General features: G+C 38.2%; 2 long non-coding RNA genes across 2 annotated transcripts in view; one reads left to right on the top strand and one right to left on the bottom strand.

Annotated features, from left to right (window-relative positions):
* The window catches only part of LOC112267868 (uncharacterized), a 96,358-nt gene extending 87,023 nt beyond the window's left edge, over positions 1-9,335 (top strand). Inside the window, exons 6-7 of the long non-coding RNA XR_007064106.1 lie at positions 1,385-1,503; positions 9,211-9,335. This is a non-coding gene — a long non-coding RNA (uncharacterized LOC112267868). The remainder of the gene's footprint in view (positions 1-1,384; positions 1,504-9,210) is intronic.
* LOC105370430 (uncharacterized) lies at positions 3,894-8,328 on the bottom strand. Its single transcript, XR_943705.2, has 4 exons — positions 8,252-8,328; positions 8,008-8,161; positions 6,515-6,657; positions 3,894-4,038 (listed from the first exon to the last, which is right to left on the bottom strand). It is a non-coding gene; the product is annotated as an uncharacterized LOC105370430 (long non-coding RNA).
* Positions 9,336-21,416: the final 12,081 nt, after the last annotated feature.

Below are 21,416 nucleotides of genomic sequence, written 5' to 3'. Positions count from 1 at the left end.
ATAATCTTCAGTCCTTATTTCCTTGACCTTTTGGCAGGATTTGATACTCTTAATTATTCTTTTGTTTTCAGAAATATTCTCTTTCTTTGACATTCCAGGGCAGCATATTCTCTCCCACCTTACTTTCCATTCCTCTGGAGACCTTTCTTCCTCTACCCACACCTTAAATATTTGGGGTCCCCAGAGTTCTTTTTAAATTGTTTCTACCAAAGTTATTTCCTCACAATATTTATCACACTTTGTTATTTCTTTTTTTCTTTTCTTTTCTTTTCCTTTTTTTTTTTTTGAGACAGAGTCTCGCTCTGTCGCCCAGGCTGGAGTGCAGTGGCGCGATCTCGGCTCACTGCAACCTCTGCCTCCTGGGTTCTCATCATCCTCCTGCCTCAGCCTCCCGAGTAGCTGGGACTACAGGCGCCCACCACCATGCCCGGCTAATTTTTTTTTTTTTTAATATATTTAGTATTGTCGGGGTTTCACTGTGTTAGCCAGGATGGTCTCCATCTTCTGATCTCATGATCCGCCCGCCTCCGCCTTCCAAAGTGCTCCCGGCATTACAGGCGTGAGCCACCGCGCCCGGCCACATTTTGTTATTTCATTTACTTTCTTGCCACTGCAAATTTTGTGAGACCAGGACTATATCATCACTGTCTTTCCAGTGCCTAGCACTGTGTAACATGAAGTTTGTGCTTAATAAATATTTACTGAGTGAATGAATAGTTGAATGATCTGAGAGCCTTAAAAGATGAGTAGGAATGGCACAAAAGAAAAGGTAGAGAGTTTTGACTGGGAGGCATTTGAGCAGATGAGCAATATACTGAGACTTGAAGGTCAAATCACTCTAGCAACAGTGTGAGGGATACATTGGAAGAGGGGAGTTCAGAGCAATTGATATTACAATAGTCTTAGTGAAAACGGTGATGGCTATAGAAATGAAGCAAAAGGCAATGGTTCAGGGGATAATTAGGAGGTCGAGCCAATAAACTTTAAAGATGGATTGGTAACTCGGGTAAGGGAGAGAAAGAAATCTTGGATGCCATGGATTCCTTCACTAGCATAGAAAGCACAGGAGAAAAAGCAATTTGGGAGAAAAGTTTAGTTTGGGACCCAATGAGTTTTAGATTCTTAAGTGTTCCATTAGGAGCACAGAAGTTAAATTACATTATAGAAGTTCAGGGACCATGTCAGTTTAATCACATAGTTCATTCTACATGTTGGTGCTTGGTAAATTCTTTTGATGGTATTGATGCAGTATCACATTGCCAATCCTGCACTGCTGTTCTGTTTAGGGGAACCCCTCTATACAAAGCCTGTGTGTTTATTTACTCACACCAATGAGGTTTTATGACTAGGTTGACCTTTACATGAACATTATCTATTTTTGCAGATGCTGTTTCAAAATTGATTAGTTCTCTGACTCGCACACTGAAATCATCCAACCTATTGAAAAAGCAGAATGGGATGTGGATTATAGGGTTTCAGATAACACCAAGTCCCTAGTGAAAGGTATGTTATTTCATTGCTTTGTTCTGCTTTTGGAAAAGTGTAGCTGTGTTTTCTTTTCTCCAACTGTATAGGTCACAGCAATTTTTTTTTCCACTGGGAATTACAAGCTATACAGATGATTTCCAGAGTAGAGTCACAGTCTCACATAAACGCTAAACACAATTAATCAGGGTCTGGAAGGTACATGGAGGGTAATTAGTAGGTTATATGTGGGTCAGTTTTAAGGTCATTTATGAATACTACAAGAAAAACAGATCTTTTGACTTTCTGTGATGAAAAAAGGAAATATATTTAGTGTATTATAATACATGCACTGAAATGGATTAAAAGCATTTTTGATAATTTCATGTCTGTGTATATAAGATTGCTTAAAGAGCAAAACAATACATTGTACTGTATTCATAATGAGAGCATCAACCTCAGTAACCAGCTATTGCAAAAATTTGTCCAATATGCCATAAGTAGTGTCAGAGTTGACAAAAGGGGATTCTGACTCTTAGCTTACTATGCTTGCTTTATACTTCTAAGGAGATAGTCATTTGGTAATCTTAAGCCTTCACAGTAGAACTATAACAAATAAATTCATTATAATAGGACATATTTATAGTGGATCTTACTTCCCATGGCTTGTGTGGGCTTTTGGAGGTTCCCTTGACCAATAGGAGCACCAAATGAGAGGAAATAATATTGACTCCAAGTGTGAAAGTGGAGTAGATATTTAGGAATCATTGAATACAGAGGAGGTTAACAAATTGATGAATTACGGAGTGGATTAAAAACAAAGGCTGTAAAACCCCTTTCTTCACATACTCCTACAGGCTGATCTCACCTACATCCCCATTGTTTCAACCACCCTTCTGGAGAGAACAGATTTCTCCACACTTTCTCCAGCTAAAACCTCATCTCTTGAACTCGGGAGCCACAAATCCAACTGCCTATATCTACATCTAAATCAATTCCTGTCTAAATCTATAATTTGTCAATATCTTTATCTAAATCTCAATGTGTTCAAAGTTAAGCTCATTATTTTCTCCCTAAAACTTCTCCCTGTTCCTGCTCAAATTTCTGATAAACCAAATATGTCTCAGGTATCCTCCTCCTTTTCTCTCTCTCCCTCATTCCTGATAACTAAACAATCACTTCTTAGAATGATTTTGGCTTAGAAATATCTATGGATTCCCTCTTATTCCCTTCCAATGTCACTGTCTTAATTCAGGCCTTGATGATTCTTTTCACCGAATGACTCCAATAATCTCTTAATAAGTCTGTCAGCTTTTAGTCTTTTCTTAGCTTCTCTCATATATTCATTCCTTGACTCTCTACCAGAGTGTTTCATTTTTTATTTATTATTTATTACTTTTATTTCTTATTATACTTTAAGTTCTAGGATACACGTGCACAACGTGCAGGTTTGTTACATATGTATACCTGTGCCATGTTGGTTTGCTGCACCCATTAACTCGTCATTTACATTAGGTATATCTCCTAATGCTATCCCTCCCCCGCCCCCCACCCCACGACAGGCCCCGGTGTGTGATGTTTAAAATACAAATCTGTCCACAGAACTCCCCTCCTTAAAATCCTGCATACTTCCACTCCTCACATAAAATAGAGGTCATCTAGCACGAACTCTCTTACCTTCCTGTCAACTCTCAAGGTGTGTACAATGTATTTGCAGTATTCCATCTATGCCTTTTCTCAACTTCCTTATTCTGGCCAAAGCCAACCTCTGAGCCTGTGATCTGTGTCCCTTTGCTCTCTGCCTCCTCAGAGCTCTCCGGACATAATTTCCAGCCACTCTTTTCATCATCCACTTCTCTACTGCCTCATTCCCCTTAACAGGTAGACACACCCAAGATTCCCTGATTGTAAACAACAAAAATCATTCCTCAGATGCAACAAGACCCAAACAGAACTCCGCATTTCCCCACACCATCTGTGGTTAACTGCTTTTGCCCTTCAAAACTTAGCTCAAGTTGCAACCCCAAACCCCCACTTTGTACTCTGCCATCTTGCATATTTATCTGTCAAACACTTCATGTATCATGGTTGACTGTTTTCTTGCCTGTCTTTTCTATTAAACTGTGAGCTTCTTGAATGTAGGAACTGGCATTCTATCATTATTACCAGCAGTTAATTAATTAAATAGTAAGTGTAAATGTCAAACCATAAGCTCTGGTCTGAACACTCTTCTTATTTTTCAAAAATTTCGATTTTAAGTTCTCAAATTTAATCAATTCAGATTTCCTACACTGCTGTCCCCAGCCCCCACTTCCCTAAGGATCGTGTAGGTTCCAGGCAGGTTATGAAGTACTGATGTGAATGAGGGTGGGGGATGGGATATGTTTGGTCCCTAATTGTCCAATCTGGCGTACCTGAGCCTCCTCACTCCTGCATGGTCTCCATTTATGGGTCATTCAAGTGGCTACACCTTCCTGATCCAGATCACAAGCTATGCTGGCCTGTTCTCTCTTGACTCCTTCTGTCTCCTCTCTGTGCACATGTAATTGGAATTTCTCTTATTTCCTCTTCTTCCTGAGATTAGGACAGGAGTTTAGCAAGGAGCAGGCCTTCTTCTTAGGAAATACTAATGTCTTAGGTTTCTTAGTTTCTTCTCTCTCTCTCTTTCTTTGCCCCAAGGAATTAGCTTTTAGGTCAAATTGGCTTGACCTTAGCTTCCAAATCTGTTGGCATAAATATTATGCTCAGAGTCTTTCAGGGATTAGGGTTTTGAAACCTCAAACCCTACTTTATTAATTCTGAGGCTTTCTTCTGCAAGAAACAGATTGCCTAACTAAAATGTAGCCTCCATAATAAAAAGATTTAATGATATTATATGAGAGGAGGTGGGGACAGGGGACAATTCTTGGGTTGGTTTATAGCACAGCAATGTCAATTATGATTCAGGCTTTTTCCTTCTCTCCACTCCTCCATCCTTGGTATATTGATTTGGTTTGCAAACTATTTTCTCATGGAGTCAAGATGGCTGCCTGTCTCTTTCTCTAGTCTCATTAGGGAGGGGCATATAATATATCATATTACACTTTAAGAAGAAGAAATAAAATAGTATAAGATCAAATTGTAGATGATATGGTAGTATGTAAAGTACTTCCAACCACAATAAACAGGGAGATTAAATGATCAGGGCAACTTCAATATAACAAATGACATTGGCATAAACAATGTATCTACATTTGTCCAACATTTGGAGACATGTATGAAGGATTTTATTTAGCTGGCATATATAAAACTTCTCTACAAAATGCACATATTAGTAGTAGTAGTCAATAAAATCACCAAAGAAAAATTAAAAAAAAAAGAGAAAGAACTTGTCCAAGATGTAATCCCAAAACCAAATGCATTGGAAACTCATACTCCTATGTGAAGATTCAAATGTCATGCTTTGGCATAAACGATACTACACAGGTTTTCTGATGAAGTTTTATCTGCACCTTCATCAGCTTACTCTGCTTACGATAAGCTTGTTCCTGCTTTTGCTTACTTATAAACCATTTTATTTCCATTTTTAAAGTAGTCCTCTTAGACTCATCTTTACCTCTCTGAGATCAACCTATAGGCTGCCAAGCCAGGTCCTGTAGCAGCCAAGATTCAAGGCATCTGGTCTCTTTTCATAATCACATTAAATCCCTGGATAGCTATATATTTTACTCCAGAAGGAGGAAATTGTTTATATCTGGCTCTCGTCCTTCCTTAGTTTGCATTAGAACCAGAAAATTATGCATTCTTGAGTTGAACCAACTCACAAAATAACAAATGAGTAATGATACTTGGCTCTTGTTTTTCTTTTTTAATTTTAAAGGACATAATGTGTGTTATCTTAGAGAATGTCAGTTTGCTGATTCAAATTTGGCCATGTGGTTGAATCCAGCCGCCCTTTATAACTCTACCTTCTATATATTTTGGATTTCTTTCACATTCCAAATAACATCAGTGAATGCATTTTCAAGGCCAAAATTGGGAGGATTCCTGCCTGGATTCTTGTTGAGAACTATTGTAACCTCAGAACTATCTTCTGCAGGCCATGACCTTTTTTTCCTCTCCATCATATTCCAGAACCTTAAAATCTGGGGCATGTAGGATCCCTTACACACTACCTGCCAAGGAGATTGTCTAGCTGAGAATTAACCCAAATGCATGTATTTTTATAAAGTTTCAAAAATGAGCTCCTAATGTTATCCTTTGTCAATCATCTACTTATTATTTATTAGATTTCTATAGCACCTTTTCTGCAAAGAGCTCAATGTATCTTAAACACATGCTACAATGCACTTTAAGTAGGTGTTACCGAATTTGGCATTATATGTGAGAAATACTGCTAAAATTATGAATTCCAACTGCAAATTATCGAAGGAATAAAAGGAAATTTCAGCATCATTTAAAAATGATATATATATACATATATATATATATATTAAACAGGTCTGTTAGCCCTGTCAGAACCTCTCTCCAAAAGAATTGCAGGGTTATATTTGAAACAGTGAACACTACCTATAAATATAGGCACTTAACTGGTATTTGAAATGTTATGCAGCTTTCCTGTTTGCAAAGGTTCTGATGTTTCCTTTGATTTCTAGAAATACAACAACAGCCATTTCCATCAAAATGTCAAGTGACAGGCCCAATAGTCCTTGGATGTTTATTAGGTTGGACTTATAGGGGCTCCCCATTCTTTCACAGGTAATATGCTGTTTATTTTCTTTCTTTTTGCCATCAGTGTTGACTGAGCACAAGGGAGCTATCATCAATGAACTGTCCCCTCAACAGCAGAGGGAGGAGAGCATGAGGGTAATGGAGGAAATTACTATGCCCTCCCTTCTTGGAAGAGAAAAATAAACACTTTATAATCTTTAAGTCAGAGGTAATTCAAAAAGTCCGAGGCAGGCAATGCTGTCCAATTTAGAGATATTTTCTCGTTCTTTGCCATAAAATACCACTCCCTCCCCAAACTACAACAATAATAAAAGAAACCCCACAAAGAACCAACTCTGACCTCCCCATCCTAGATATCCCAAATTGTGGGCTTCAGTTGCATTCTGCCCTTTTCTTTTCTTCCTTCTTCTTTTTACTTGGGTAGATTGCTTTCAGGTGGGGCAGTCTTCATTCCACATGAGCTTTGAAATCATATCCCTGGATCTGTATAGAACGGCAGTAGTTCAAGGTATTAGTAGCAGCCTTCCATGGTAATACTGTCATTAGATCATTATGACTATTCTAAGGTTCTGCCTGTGAGCATGGCATGAATTTTATATTTGGAAATAAAATCCTCCCGGGATACCACAAAGCTGCACGCTGGCCTTGCCCCTTCTCGCTGCCCGTTAGGATTGGCTGCCCTGCCTTGGTCTTGTGTTACTCAGGAATAAGTCCTGCCGTGTTTGTTTCACATAAGAACCCCTTCAATTTGTTTATAATGATCTGAATGATATTATTAGGTGAACAAAGCTGCTCAATGGTGACATTTATTAACCAGTCATATCATCTGTGTTTAAATCTCATATTACATTTCAGGGAAATTGTGTGAACCTAACTCCAGCATAACTTTTCTTTGGGGACCATTGCTTTGTATTGAGTTTAAAATAAAATAGAACATAGAAAGCAGATTTTATTTCCAGGAGAGCATTTCACTTAAGAGGTTTAGACTGAGCCAGATTATGTATAGAGGCCCACAGGAAGGTGGATGTTGGAACTCTTCAAACTAGCACTTGCTCTATGTCTCTGTCTGCATGAGTTAGGAAGCATGTCCCTTTTAAAAGAGATATGGGAATTGGAATGATCGGTGCCATGGGTGTAGAGCAGAGGTGTCAGAGAATGAATGGAAGAAAACCATGTGTATGAAAATGAATTTTGTGTGTGGTCTGGGAGAATGATGGATATGCTATGACCACCTCCATGGGGATGAGTGTGCACATGCGGGACAATGCTCATTGGGAAGAAGGCAGGCAGACTGCAGTGATGGTGGCTAGGTATGCAGGTGAAATAGAACATGGTTAAATTAGAATGTGATCAAAGAATGGCAGCCTGTTTATGTAAAAACAAGGAAGGTTGGCATATATGTATGATTTTCAGTGATAATAGAATGATATACTTACAATTTTTATTATGGCAAATTTTAACTATTGCACAAGAGTAGAGATAATAGTCTAATAAACTCTCATATACCCATCATTCATCTTCAACAATTAACTCATGGCCAATCTTGTTTAATCTTTACTACTCCTCTCCCCCATTCCCGAAGTATTATTTTGAAGCAAACCCAAGACACCATACGTTTGCACCCATAACTACTTTTGTATGAGTCTATAAAATATGAAGAATCCTTAAAAAATCATCACCATCCAATAAAAATAATCATTAGTATTAATTGAAATTAATACTAATTCCTTAATATCATCAAATAGCTAGTTAGCCTCCAAATATCTCTGATTATCTCATTTTTTAAATGGTTGGTTTGTTCAAATCCAAATTTCAGTAAGGTCCTCATATTACCTTTGGTTGTTATGTCTCTTATAAATCTTTTAATCCATAAGTTCTCCCTCATTTCTTTTTGTTTCTTGCAATTTATTTGTTGACGAAAATTGAGTCATTTTCTCTACAGAGTTTCACATTTTGGATTTTGTTGATTGCATTCTTTTAAAATTTCCTGTGAAATAGTAGTTAGATTTAGAAGCTTGATCTCATTCAGGTTTGATTACCTGACAAGAACACTTCACTGGTGATATGGTGTACTTACATCAAGAAGCATACATGTCTAGTTGTTTCTATTTTGGGGGGTTTTAGTAGCCACTGATGCTTATTGCCTCAATCCATTATTGCATTAAGCATTTGTGACATGGGGCTCTCTTCATGTCTATAGAGAGAAACTTTTCCTCAATAATGATTAGATCTTCCTGGGATACAGTTCATACAAGAAAGCAGGTTATGTGCTTGATTGTTTCTCTTTATTTAGATGTTCTCATAATATTCTCTAAGATGAATGAGATTTGTTTCCCCTCATACCATTACGAATGTGTGAATGTTTATATTTGATTAATTTTAAGCCATGGAAATTATTATTATGTTGTTGATGCTCAAGTTGTCCCATTTTGGGGAACCTTTTCAAGTTGGCTTCTAAGATCTTTGACACAGCAGCTTTTGAGAACTTTCCTGATTTTTGGTATAACCACATGTTCCACGCTGAACTTGTACATTTCCTATCCAAACCTAGAATCAATTGTTTCTTCAAGAAGCCCTGGTTCCTTTTAGTGGAAAATGGGAATTAAGGGTATTCAACACTTCTAGTTGGCAGAAATGGTATATATGTTTTTGGATTAGGATTTGTCAACATTTTTGAAGTACATTGTGTTTGTTCAAATCACATCTGCTCAATGATATTCACAATTGTATCAGGATACATCATTTTGCAAAGAACAGAACATCTGACCCATGCTGATATGAAAACATAAGAAAATTTCCTCTTCCTCTTCTTCTTCTTCTTCATTTTTTTTTTGTAACTGAAAAGTCCAAAGATAAGATTGGCTTCAAGTGAGGTTTCCAATTTCTTTCTGCCTCTGCTATATTTTTCTTATTGTTGGCTCCATCCTAAGACTAGTTCTCCTCATGGTCCTGCGATAACTGCCATCAGCCTCCAGGGCTACACATTTCCACATTTACAGCCAACAGCAAAGGGCATCTTTGTCTCTTCCTTTCCAGAAACAATCCTGAGATTCACTCTGAATGCAAGCCTTTACTCAAGTCACGTGCTCAAGGCAGAGCCAATCACTGATTAGCTGGATGGAATGTGCCGATTGGTTTAACATAGGTTGCATATTTGACTCTTGGAGTTGGAGATGATAAGTGCTTCCCTTGAACCACCTGCATCTTCGAATGTAAGTTGGAACTGTTGAAAAGTGGGGATAGGAAGGCAGGAAATGGATTCTGGGGAGGGGCCAACAAATATCCACTATTACAATATAGAATTTGTTTCCTTCATCTATCCATCTATCAATTCAGCTATTCATGGTAACCTATTCATGATAACGTAGGCACTATTTTAAGCCTTAGAGAGGCAAAGAGAAGTAAAACATAACCTCTGGCATCAGGAAATTTGTAGACCAATAGAGTTAGACATATCCTTATAATAGCCAGAAAAGAAAACTATACAAGGTGCAGTGGGATCCAAGGGAGGAACTAATCATTTCAACTTGGGAAGAGGTCTTTCCAATGCAAAGGTTTTATGATCTGTCATTATTTTATTATTGGTTTGTTATATTCCTTAGAGTCTACATTGGCAGACTCAAACATCAAAATATTGTAAAAATAATATTCCTTCTCAATAGTGGATTCAATCAGAAAATTATTTCACATCTCTAGCTAGGATAAAAGTACCAGAAGTATAAGAATTCATCTCTGGGGTTCTTTTCTCATTTGTCCAGAGAGAGAGAAAATATTAATGCTCTCTTGTAGACGCAAGAAACCTCTGTTGTTAATGCAAAGTTGTTGATCTTTCTAAGTTGGTCCAGATACCATTAGAATGTTACATATTTGTAATTTAAAAGAAAACAAGGTGTCGAATCTTCATTGTTCCTTTGGGTTGACCATTAGTTTAGGTGCTGTGTTTCGGATTATAATACCAAACTTCTCTACCACATGAATTACAACACAGCAGAATTTGGTAAGTTGATACCTCTTAAGTACCATCTAGGTAAGTCTCCTCTTAAAGAGCAAAAAGAGTCTCTTGTAGAGAAGTCCCACGGCAAAATCTCTGGTTATGAAGGTTACAGTGATAAAAAGATAATCAATTAGGCAATAAAATTTAAAATGGCCTGATCAGCTGGGAGCCATGGCTCACACCTGTAACCCAACACTTTGGGAGGCTGAGGTGGCAGGATCATTTGAGTCCAGGAGCTTGAGACCAGCCTGGGTAACATGACAAAACCCTATCTCTACCAAATATACAAAAAAATAGCCAGGTGTGATGGCATGCATCTGTGGTCCCAGCTACTCAGGAGGCTGAGGTGGGAAGGTTGCTTTAGCCTGGGAGGTGGAGGTTGCTGTGAGCTGAGATTGCATCATTGCACTCCAGCCTGGGTGACAGAGCGAGACCTTGTCTCAAAAAATAATAATAAAATAAAATTAAGTAAAATAGGCTGATTCATGTTAGTATAGATGGAATGGCAAGAAGACTACTGACTAATTTAAAATGAAACATGCTTCCAATCTAATTTACTAAATACTATTATGAAAAGCTGAAATGATGGTTACCTTTTCTATTTTGCCAGCTGGTGTGAGAATCTAATAGCAAGTTACAATCACAACTTACTCTACATAATAACAACTTTATCTTTTAAATCCACGAAGTGTCACCTAATTTTTTTTAATCATTAAAGTGACCCACGCATTGTTTTCTCAGCCTGTTTTTCATCATTGAAATGGTTGGGACTTGTTAATTGACCATACTCTGCATGAGTCTCCCATTCACTTTTATGATCTGTTAACAATATCTTGGAGACCCACCAGATTGTATTGCAGAAGGCTTTATTTTAGTCAAGTTTGCTGACCAAAACTTGAAAGGGTTGTGTGTGGGGAGGTGGACGCAAACAAGCCAACAACCTCAAACCTAAACCCAACCATCTGTGCTATTTGATGGGGCGTTCCTGACTCTGAGCATTAGTCCTGGCTGAGAGTTACCACTGAGTACAATTGTTTATGCTGTGCCACAGGGGAGAGCAGACAATACCACACAATCAAAGCCTTCACACTCAAACAGACATCACACTCCCTAATTATATTTGTCTGACAGATTATTATAATTGTACATGGCAGGTAGTGTAAAGCAGCTCCTTTTTACAGCCTAAATAATGTGGCATATTCTGCATACTAGAAATCAACCTTGCAGAAGGTAAATTATGAAAGCTAAATGCACGTTGAGTGTTTTTATTTACTCTTTCAGTTAGCATCTTATGTGGTGCTAGACAGCAAAAGAGCATTACCTTATTTTGCCTGGTACTATTCCATTTAACACTTTGTTGTGCAAAGTTTCTTTCTAGCTGACAGCATTTTTTATTTTGGCATACTCAGGACAACTCCAGCAATGATTGTATATAAGGCTGTTCCCCAAACCTGAACTGACCAGTTCAGACCGTGCTAAGTCAGCATGAGGATAAAATGCATTTCTTACCAAAAAAAAACCCCACTAAATTATGAACCCAATTCTATGCTTCATTTCTTCAACAATGAGAATAAACCAACTTGGGAAATAGTCCTTCAGTTGTTTGCATAATCTAAGACTGTTTCTGATAGCTTTATGGGCTAAGGGACCTGTCTGTGGGAAAATCATCTAGTTCTCACCATGTCTGATTGCTTTTTCCTTCCAAGCACATGGGAGGACTGCATTTCTCTACCACTTTACAGTTGGATGGGAGCATGTTGACTAGTTTTTGCAGTTGGTTGTGGGTGGAAGTGACATATGTCATTTCCAATACTAATATGTGCTTACCAATATGAGGCCCTCTAGCACCCCCCTCTGCTGGTGACTGAGGCTACTGCACGTTCCAGAAGGAGCGGCTATTACAATATAGTGCCTCTGTCAGCTCCAGTCCCTGAGTAACTAAAGCCGAGCCCCTGATGGCTGGCTTCAGATACGTACAGTTAATAAGAAACAAACCTTTGTTGTGTGAAGCCACTGAGAAGTGGGCTTTTAGTTTGTGACTTCAGCATAATTTAGCCTATCCTGACTGATACAAGAGTCTTCAATATGTGATTTGTCCATGGTAGCCATATTTTACATTAGAGTTGTGAATATTATATCTAGTTGCCATAGTTTCTACAGTATGATTCTTTTGTCCCAAAAATATACATGATAAAATAATAAAAGTTACCTTACATTGAGTACTTGATAAATGTTTGCAGACTGAAGTGCAGTGGCGTGGTCACTACAGCCTTGAAGCTCCCTACAGCCTTGAAGTCCTGCACTCAAGTGATTCTCTTGCCTCAGCCTCCTGAATAGCTAGGACTGCAGGCACATGCCACCATGCCCTGCTAATTTTTTTTTTTTTTTTTTTTTGTAGAGATGGGGTCTCACTATGTTGCTCAGGCTAGCCTAGAACTGTTGGCTTAAAGCAATCTCCCTGTCTCAGCCTCCCAAAGTGCTGGGATTACAAGCATGAGCCACTGCACCCAGCTCTAGGCATTGTATGCTGGTTATGTACTTTTTGGCTAATACTCATAAAAATTTACAAAATGAGATAATGCAAGTTAAAGCAGATAAGTAAGTGATCTCCCAAGTCCACACAGAAGCACTGTTCAAAACCAGTCTTGTCTAGCTCCAAAATCTATACTTGTTCCATTTCACTACACTGGCTTTATTTATTAACTGAAACAGTGAAGTGGATTAGAAGTAAAAATATAAAAAGTAAATATAAAATGTAAAGGTTTCTGCATTTCCCAACATTTTATAGCATTCTATTTATTTATTCCTTCATTCAGGTATTCATTCAATTATATGTCTACCTCCAGTCAGGATGACTGGATTTGAATCCCATCCCTGTCTCTGCTAACTCTGAGATTTTTAAGCGTAGTACTTAATCTGTTTCCTCATTTGTAAAAGAAGATACTAACATTACTTATCTCATGGGGTTGTTGTAAGTATTAAATATATAAATATATTTAGAGCAGTAGCTGACATGCAACAAGGTTTAGGATGGGGCTGGGACTGGAGTGAAGCAAGGGAGGCACCCAGAGTGCAAAACCGAAGGAGGCACTTTCACAACCCTGAGAGTGAGTGTCTCCTTACATTCTCTTCCCCAGGTGCTTCTTCTGTCTTACTCAAGTCCTGATCCTGGCTGAGCTGTTAATATTCATTCATTTGTGTATACTTAATTGTGAAAAAGCATGAGGAGAGTTTTGGTATGCACACAAAAATATGGATGATTAGAGTTCCTACCCTCGGAGCTTTTGTGAGGATCACATGAGATAATTCACTTAAAGAGCTTAGCATGGTGTGTGACACATGGTAGATAAGAATTGTAGCTTAAAAAAAAGAGAGGGCGATGGACTAGGTAACCTGCAATGTCACCTCTCAGCTCTAAAAATCTATTCCCAGTTAGACTTGACCAGTTAAAAAATATTGTAATTACTGATCGCTGCCTTGAAGAAAGGTGGCACCAACATTTAGCAGTATGACTCTGTGGGGGTGGGATCATTATAGAATACAGAGAAAACATGTTCTCAGTCTTCAGGGGCTCACAATCAGGCTGAAAAAAGGCAGGTGAATAAGTAAGACATATTCTCATACATATGTAACAACACTATCTATATCCAAATACACTTTCCATGGGGAATGGCATGCTGTTGAGATGGAACTCTTTGGAAAGCTGCTTTTCCTTCCAACCAGTCGGGGAAGATTTTTGAGGCCAGCTTTCAGTGTTCTTTGAAGTACTTAGGAGGAGAAGGCCATTGTTTAGTCTGATAGGAGTTTTGGAGGGTGTTTGGAGGCTGGGAGATGGAATGGGGGGAGCCTTCGGTTTAGAGCTGAACCAGTGAAGAACTGAGAAATAAGGGCAGATGTAGTATAAGTGAAATGATGGGATAAAAGGACATAGGTTAGCATGAGGAGACACAAGGGAAGTATTGGATGAATTTTGATGGACAGGGCCTAAAATGTCATGAGGGAAGGGATGGGAAGGTTATTAACATAACTGTTCATTTGCTCATCTCAATTATCAAGATGAGCGTCTTGCATAACTGGTATCTAAGGGTCACAGAAGGACAGAACTGCTGAAAACCTTGGGTATTTGGCCCTGACTGGTACAATTATTTGTGTCCAGAGAGACTCGTTAGATTTTCTTGTTATCAATCAATCAGGCAACAAGCTGAAAAAGGTTCACATACCATTCAAAAGTAGAGTGACATCTTTATATAACATAAATTAAGTACTGGTTCTGTACTTAATATCTGAGGAAAATATAGGAAAAACATAAACCTTTCCTTGTGGCTTTGGCTTTGAAGTCAAGACATACCCAATGTAGATTCTGAAATATTTCTGTCTCAGCATGTGGCACATTGCAAGTCATACAATAGGTGCTCAATAAATATTTCTTGAGTGAATCAATAGATAAATGAAAATTGTCTTTGGATTAGGTGGAAGTAATTGTGCAGTGCGTCTTAAGTGTGTATACTTTCTCGTGTTGTATTTATTCTAAGGGTGTTGTTGCAGAAGAAAATAGAGGTATATATGAAATGCCCTTATGGAATTATAGAATAAAAATGTTAATTGATGTAGATGCAATTATTTTGAGGAGCTTTTTTTTGAGCGGTGTGTGTGTAATACATCCTTAAAATTAAATAGAAGTCGATGGGACAGTCTGAGTCACTAAATTCGCAAGAGTCAGAGGCTTTAGGAAAGCTGCAAAATGTCTCGTGAGGCGTGGGGGATGGTCAGACTTTGGTATTCAAAAAGAACTCGCTGTAAGTTCATTACCATCTTAGGTTGTGGAGGCACATAAATATCCAACCATAGGCAGCATAGTGTTCCTTAATGGAATATTATATAGCTATTAAAGTATTACTGCAGTTGGAGAATATTTAATCACATGAAAAGACATTAACAAGACATTAAGTGGAAAAGGCAATTTAAAAATCAGTATGTGTCAGATGAACCTATTAAAATATGCATGGAAGAAGCCTAGAATAATAAGATCTGAAATCAGTAGCAAGGATTATTTCTGAGAAATAGAACCATAGATTTCTTCATGCTTGTTTATATTTTCCAATTTTTTTTACAATGAACCCATATCTTTAAAAATGCTATTAAATTATTTCTCAAAATAGAGACCCAAAAGGACCTACTGAGATTGGATACACTACTGTCTCTCTGTTTCCATGTTGAATTCAATGTCAGCCTCCAGTTTCCTCTGAACTTGAATTTACCTATGCCAATGATTCTCCCCCTTGCTCATGCATGGATGCTATGACTACTGCTGTTTGAATATCACCCACTTAGCCATAGATTTTACTTCATAATCCAGATTTATGAACTAGACACCACATCTGCTTTCTTATATCTGAAAATATTTTTGGTGCCATGAATATTCATGAATATAGCTTATTGTTGTCTCACTCTGCCCCATGGCCTTCAATAGGACAAGGGCAGTTTCCAAAATGATAAGTCCACATGGTCTGTGAGAATAGTGTCCTTATTGATAGATGGGATAAAAGACTGGAAGGTAGGAGAGAAGACTATTGTAGAGGTTCATTTCTACTGACCAGTGCCTATAGAAAGGTCAAACTAGGCTACTTATCATTTTAAAGAAAATGATTTGATTTGTTTTCTTAATACAATGTAAGTACCACTGTCAACATATATAGTGTTTTAACATTATGAGCTTATTAAAATAGTAAATCTGTGGAGAACATTCAAATTTTTGCATGATTATGCTTGAACCTAATGTACAAGTGAAAATAGGCAATGGTAATAACATCATCCAACACTGGAGACAATTTCTCAGCCTACAGGTACAAAACACCATAACTGATTGCCCAAGTGTTGTACCAGCTCCTTTTTATCTGTCTGCTTGCTGTTTTTCATTCAAATTATAACACCTTTTCCTGCAAGATAAATTAACAGTTTTTTTTTTCCTAGTTTTAAGTTTAGTTCATTCGAAAAGCTTAACATAAAGTAGAGTCATTAGGCTTTGGTAACAGGCCAAATTTAGGCAAAGCAGATACAAAAATACTCCACATAAAATAAAAATTCAAATGTGGGATGCATGCGTGGAGCTGCCTGATTGCTGTATTTATGAGGGCCTGCAGGTTTGTTTTAATTTCTTCCTGCATTCATGAATCCCTGTTTTTACTTTTATTTTTTACAGTTTTTTCTCTTATTGTGGGGGTTTGTATTTGGCTTTCACTTCCCCTTCGTGGTCCTTTTTTAATGAGGAAATTAAGTTTTTAAGTCACCCATTAGAATTTTCTTTTTGAAAAGTTAAAAGTGTCCTCTGCTCTTGAACAGCCACTGATTGATCTAAGGCAGAAGTTGCATCTTAACTTTGAAGAGGTATAGGTGAGCATCTTGGTTTGGAGGTAAAAAATGGAGAACATGATGGAATAAAGTTGGTAAATGATCATAAAATAGAGCCCAAAGCTTTTCATTTCAAGGCACAAAGCCCCACACAGCCATGCCTTTCAAACAGACATTGCCTTCAGAACATATCTAGGTTGGGGAGGCAAGGGTGGCAAATGTTATCCCAGGTGGAGGACGTCTTAGTACCTTTCCTGACATCATGGTTGGATATGCTGTTACTTCCCCAACGTTATAAGAGTTCCATCTGCGATTCAACACCTATTATTAAATATCTACTATGGGCAATCACTGAGGATATGTAGAAAAAAGCAAGATACAAGGTTCTATTTTCAATGTGTTTCTAATCCACACACGTTAATACCATAATGCTATGCATGACTTTACAGGTTTGTCCATCTTATCTGCACAATAATCCTAAAGTGCAGGTAAAGCAGATACAATGTTTTTTAATTTATAGATGATAAAATTGGATCTCAGAGAGGATAAGTTGTTTAGGATGGCACAGCTAGTAAATGTCATAATTAGGACCCAACATCAAGTCACCTGATTTTGAGTCTAGCTAGCTTACTTGTTCTCACCTGAGTAGGGGTGGTTTTGGACTGTGTTTAAGTGCTCATTGCTGGTGCCTTCAGGGTTTAGACAGCTATCACCCCCTCTATATGTATTAGACTGTGGGAGAAAGTGAGGTGAAGTGAGTGACAGGGCAGTTTTATAAATATAAATATTTAAGTGCATGTATGTGCATTTTCTCAGGTTTTAAAATCATTCCTGCCATCCGCGGCTGACCCTACCAATTCGGAAGCACTGAGGTGCACGTTTCCATGAGAAATAACAACCTAAGGCAGGGCACAATTGGTGTCATGTGGGTAATAGAAAATCAGAATGCTGTGAATTCGGGACCAGAAATGTCATTTCTGACTCAGGAGGTCAGGAAACTCTTTCAGAACAGGTTAGGCCTTAATGATGGCTAAGAGGAAGGTGTGATTCAAGGAGTTCCTGAGACTAAACACTGAGAGGGGCTCAACTGTGTTTTTTTTCTGAGTGTCACCAGTGGCTAGCTGTTTGACCTCAGGCAAGTCTTACAGTCTCTCTGAGCTTCAGTTTTCCCATCTATAAAATGGGGATAAAATGCCCACTGTGCTGGGATGCTGTGGGGATTAAATGAGAAAACACATGTATGTGTCTAGTGCCTGTACAATTGCAGCACTCAACAAAGAGGAATTCCCCTCCCCTTCTCATGGGGCCATGAGAAGTTCTAAAAAAAAAAAGGAACTTTCCCTGATTCTATGGAAACTACCTTTCCCACCTCAGCAGAAATGCCTTTATTCCCTCATCTATGGAGTTCTCTCTGTCCTTCATGGCTTCTTTTTTTTTTTTTTTATTATACTTTAAGTTTTAGGGTACATGTGCACGTTGTGCAGGTTAGTTACATATGTATACATGTGCCACGCTGGTGCGCTGCACCCACTAACTCGTCATCTAGCATTAGGTATATCTCCCAATGCTATCCCTCCCCCCTCCCCCCACCCCACCACAGTCCCCAGAGTGTGATATTCCCCTTCCTGTGTCCAGGTGATCTCATTGTTCAATTCCCACCTATGAGTGAGAATATGCGGTGTTTGGTTTTTTGTTCTTGCGATAGTTTACTGAGAATGATGATTTCCAATTTCATCCATGTCCCTACAAAGGACATGAACTCATCATTTTTTATGGCTGCATAGTATTCCATGGTGTATATGTGCCACATTTTCTTAATCCAGTTTATCATTGTTGGACATTTGGGTTGGTTCCAAGTCTTTGCTATTGAGAATAATGCCGCAATAAACATACGTGTGCATGTGTCTTTATAGCAGCATGATTTATAGTCATTTGGGTATATACCCAGTAATGGGATGGCTGGGTCAAATGGTATTTCTAGTTCTAGATCCCTGAGGAATCGCCACACTGACTTCCACAATGGTTGAACTAGTTTACAGTCCCACCAACAATGTAAAAGTGTTCCTATTTCTCCACATCCTCTCCAGCACCTGTTGTTTCCTGACTTTTTAATGATTGCCATTCTAACTGGTGTGAGATGGTATCTCATTGTGGTTTTGATTTGCATTTCTCTGATGGCCAGTGATGATGAGCATTTTTTCATGTGTTTTTTGGCTGCATAAATGTCTTCTTTTGAAAAGTGTCTGTTCATGTCCTTCGCCCACTTTTTGATGGGGTTGTTTGTTTTTTTCTTGTAAATTTGTTTGAGTTCATTGTAGATTCTGGATATTAGCCCTTTGTCAGATGAGTAGGTTGCGAAAATTTTCTCCCATTTTGTGGGTTGCCTGTTCACTCTGATGGTAGTTTCTTTTGCTGTGCAGAAGCTCTTGAGTTTAATTAGATCCCATTTGTCAATTTTGTCTTTTGTTGCCATTGCTTTTGGTGTTTTGGACATGAAGTCCTTGCCCATGCCTATGTCCTGAATGGTAATGCCTAGGTTTTCTTCTAGGGTTTTTATGGTTTTAGGTCTAACGTTTAAATCTTTAATCCATCTTGAATTGATTTTTGTATAAGGTGTAAGGAAGGGATCCAGTTTCAGCTTTCTACATACGGCTAGCCAGTTTTCCCAGCACCATTTATTAAATAGGGAATCCTTTCCCCATTTCTTGTTTTTCTCAGGTTTGTCAAAGATCAGACAGTTGTAGGTATGCGGCGTTATTTCTGAGGGCTCTGTTCTGTTCCATTGATCTATATCTCTGTTTTGGTACCAGTACCATGCTGTTTTGGTTACTGTAGCCTTGTAGTAAAGTTTGAAGTCAGGTAGTGTGATGCCTCCAGCTTTGTTCTTTTGGCTTAGGATTGACTTGGCGATGCGGGCTCTTTTTTGGTTCTATATGAACTTTAAAGTAGTTTTTTCCAATTCTGTGAAGAAAGTCATTGGTAGCTTGATGGGGATGGCATTGAATCTGTAAATTACCTTGGGCAGTATGGCCATTTTCACAATATTGATTCTTCCGACCCATGAGCATGGAATGTTCTTCCATTTGTTTGTATCCTCTTTTATTTCCTTGAGCAGTGGTTTGTAGTTCTCCTTGAAGAGGTCCTTCACATCCCTTGTAAGTTGGATTCCTAGGTATTTTATTCTCTTTGAAGCAATTGTGAATGGGAGTTCACTCATGATTTGGCTCTCTGTTTGTCTGTTGTTGGTGTATAAGAATGCTTGTGATTTTTGTACATTGATTTTGTATCCTGAGACTTTGCTGAAGTTGCTTGTCAGCTTAAGGAGATTTTGGGCTGAAACAATGGGGTTTTCTAGATATACAATCATGTCATCTGCAAACAGGGACAATTTGACTTCCTCTTTTCCTAATTGAATACCCTTTATTTCCTTCTCCTGCCTGATTGCCCTGGCCAGAACTTCCAACACTATGTTGAATAGGAGTGGTGAGAGAGGGCATCCCTGTCTTGTGCCAGTTTTCAAAGGGAATGCTTCCAGTTTTTGCCCATTCAGTATGATATTGGCTGTGGGTTTGTCATATATAGCTCTTATTATTTTGAAATACGTCCCATCAATACCTAATTTATTGAGAGTTTTTAGCATGAAGGGTTGTTGAATTTTGTCAAAGGCTTTTTCTGCATCTATTGAGATAATCATGTGGTTTTTGTCTTTGGTTCTGTTTATATGCTGGATTACATTTATTGATTTGCGTATATTGAACCAGCCTTGCATCCCAGGGATGAAGCCCACTTGATCATGGTGGATAAGCTTTTTGATGTGCTGCTGGATTCGGTTTGCCAGTATTTTATTGAGGATTTTTGCATCAATGTTCATCAAGGATATTGGTCTAAAATTCTCTTTTTTTGTTGTGTCTCTGCCCGGCTTTGGTATCAGAATGATGCTGGCCTCATAAAATGAGTTAGGGAGGATTCCCTCTTTTTCTATTGATTGGAATAGTTTCAGAAGGAATGGTACCAGTTCCTCCTTGTACCTCTGGTAGAATTCGGCTGTGAATCCATCTGGTCCTGGACTCTTTTTGGTTGGTAAGCTATTGCTTATTGCCACAATTTCAGCTCCTGTTATTGGTCTATTAGGAGATTCAACTTCTTCCTGGTTTAGTCTTGGGAGAGTATATGTGTCGAGGAATTTATCCATTTCTTCTAGATTTTCTAGTTTATTTGCGTAGAGGTGTTTGTAGTATTCTCTGATGGTAGTTTGTATTTCTGTGGGATCGGTGGTGATATCCCCTTTATCATTTTTTATTGTGTCTATTTGATTCTTCTCTCTTTTTTTCTTTATTAGTCTTGCTAGTGGTCTATCAATTTTGTTGATCCTTTCAAAAAACCAGCTCCTGGATTCATTGATTTTTTGAAGGGTTTTTTGTGTCTCTATTTCCTTCAGTTCTGCTCTAATTTTAGTTATTTCTTGCCTTCTGCTAGCTTTTGAATGTGTTTGCTCTTGCTTTTCTAGTTCTTTTAATTGTGATGTTAGGGTGTCAATTTTGGATCTTTCCTGCTTTCTCTTGTGGGCATTTAGTGCTATAAATTTCCCTCTACACACTGCTTTGAATGCGTCCCAGAGATTCTGGTATGTTGTGTCTTTGTTCTTGTTGGTTTCAAAGAACATCTTTATTTCTGCCTTCATTTCATTATGTACCCAGTAGTCATTCAGGAGCAGGTTGTTCAGTTTCCATGTAGTTGAGCGGCTTTGAGTGAGATTCTTAATCCTGAGTTCTAGTTTGATTGCACTGTGGTCTGAGAGATAGTTTGTTATAATTTCTGTTCTTTTACATTTGCTGAGGAGAGCTTTACTTCCCAGTATGTGGTCAATTTTGGAATAGGTGTGGTGTGGTGCTGAAAAAAA

This window comes from Homo sapiens, chromosome 14, assembly GCF_000001405.40.
Source record: "Homo sapiens chromosome 14, GRCh38.p14 Primary Assembly".
Taxonomy (NCBI): Eukaryota; Metazoa; Chordata; class Mammalia; order Primates; family Hominidae; genus Homo; species Homo sapiens.
The sequence above is the reverse complement of the archived record's forward strand: the minus strand, read 5'-3'. Positions and strand labels throughout refer to the sequence as shown.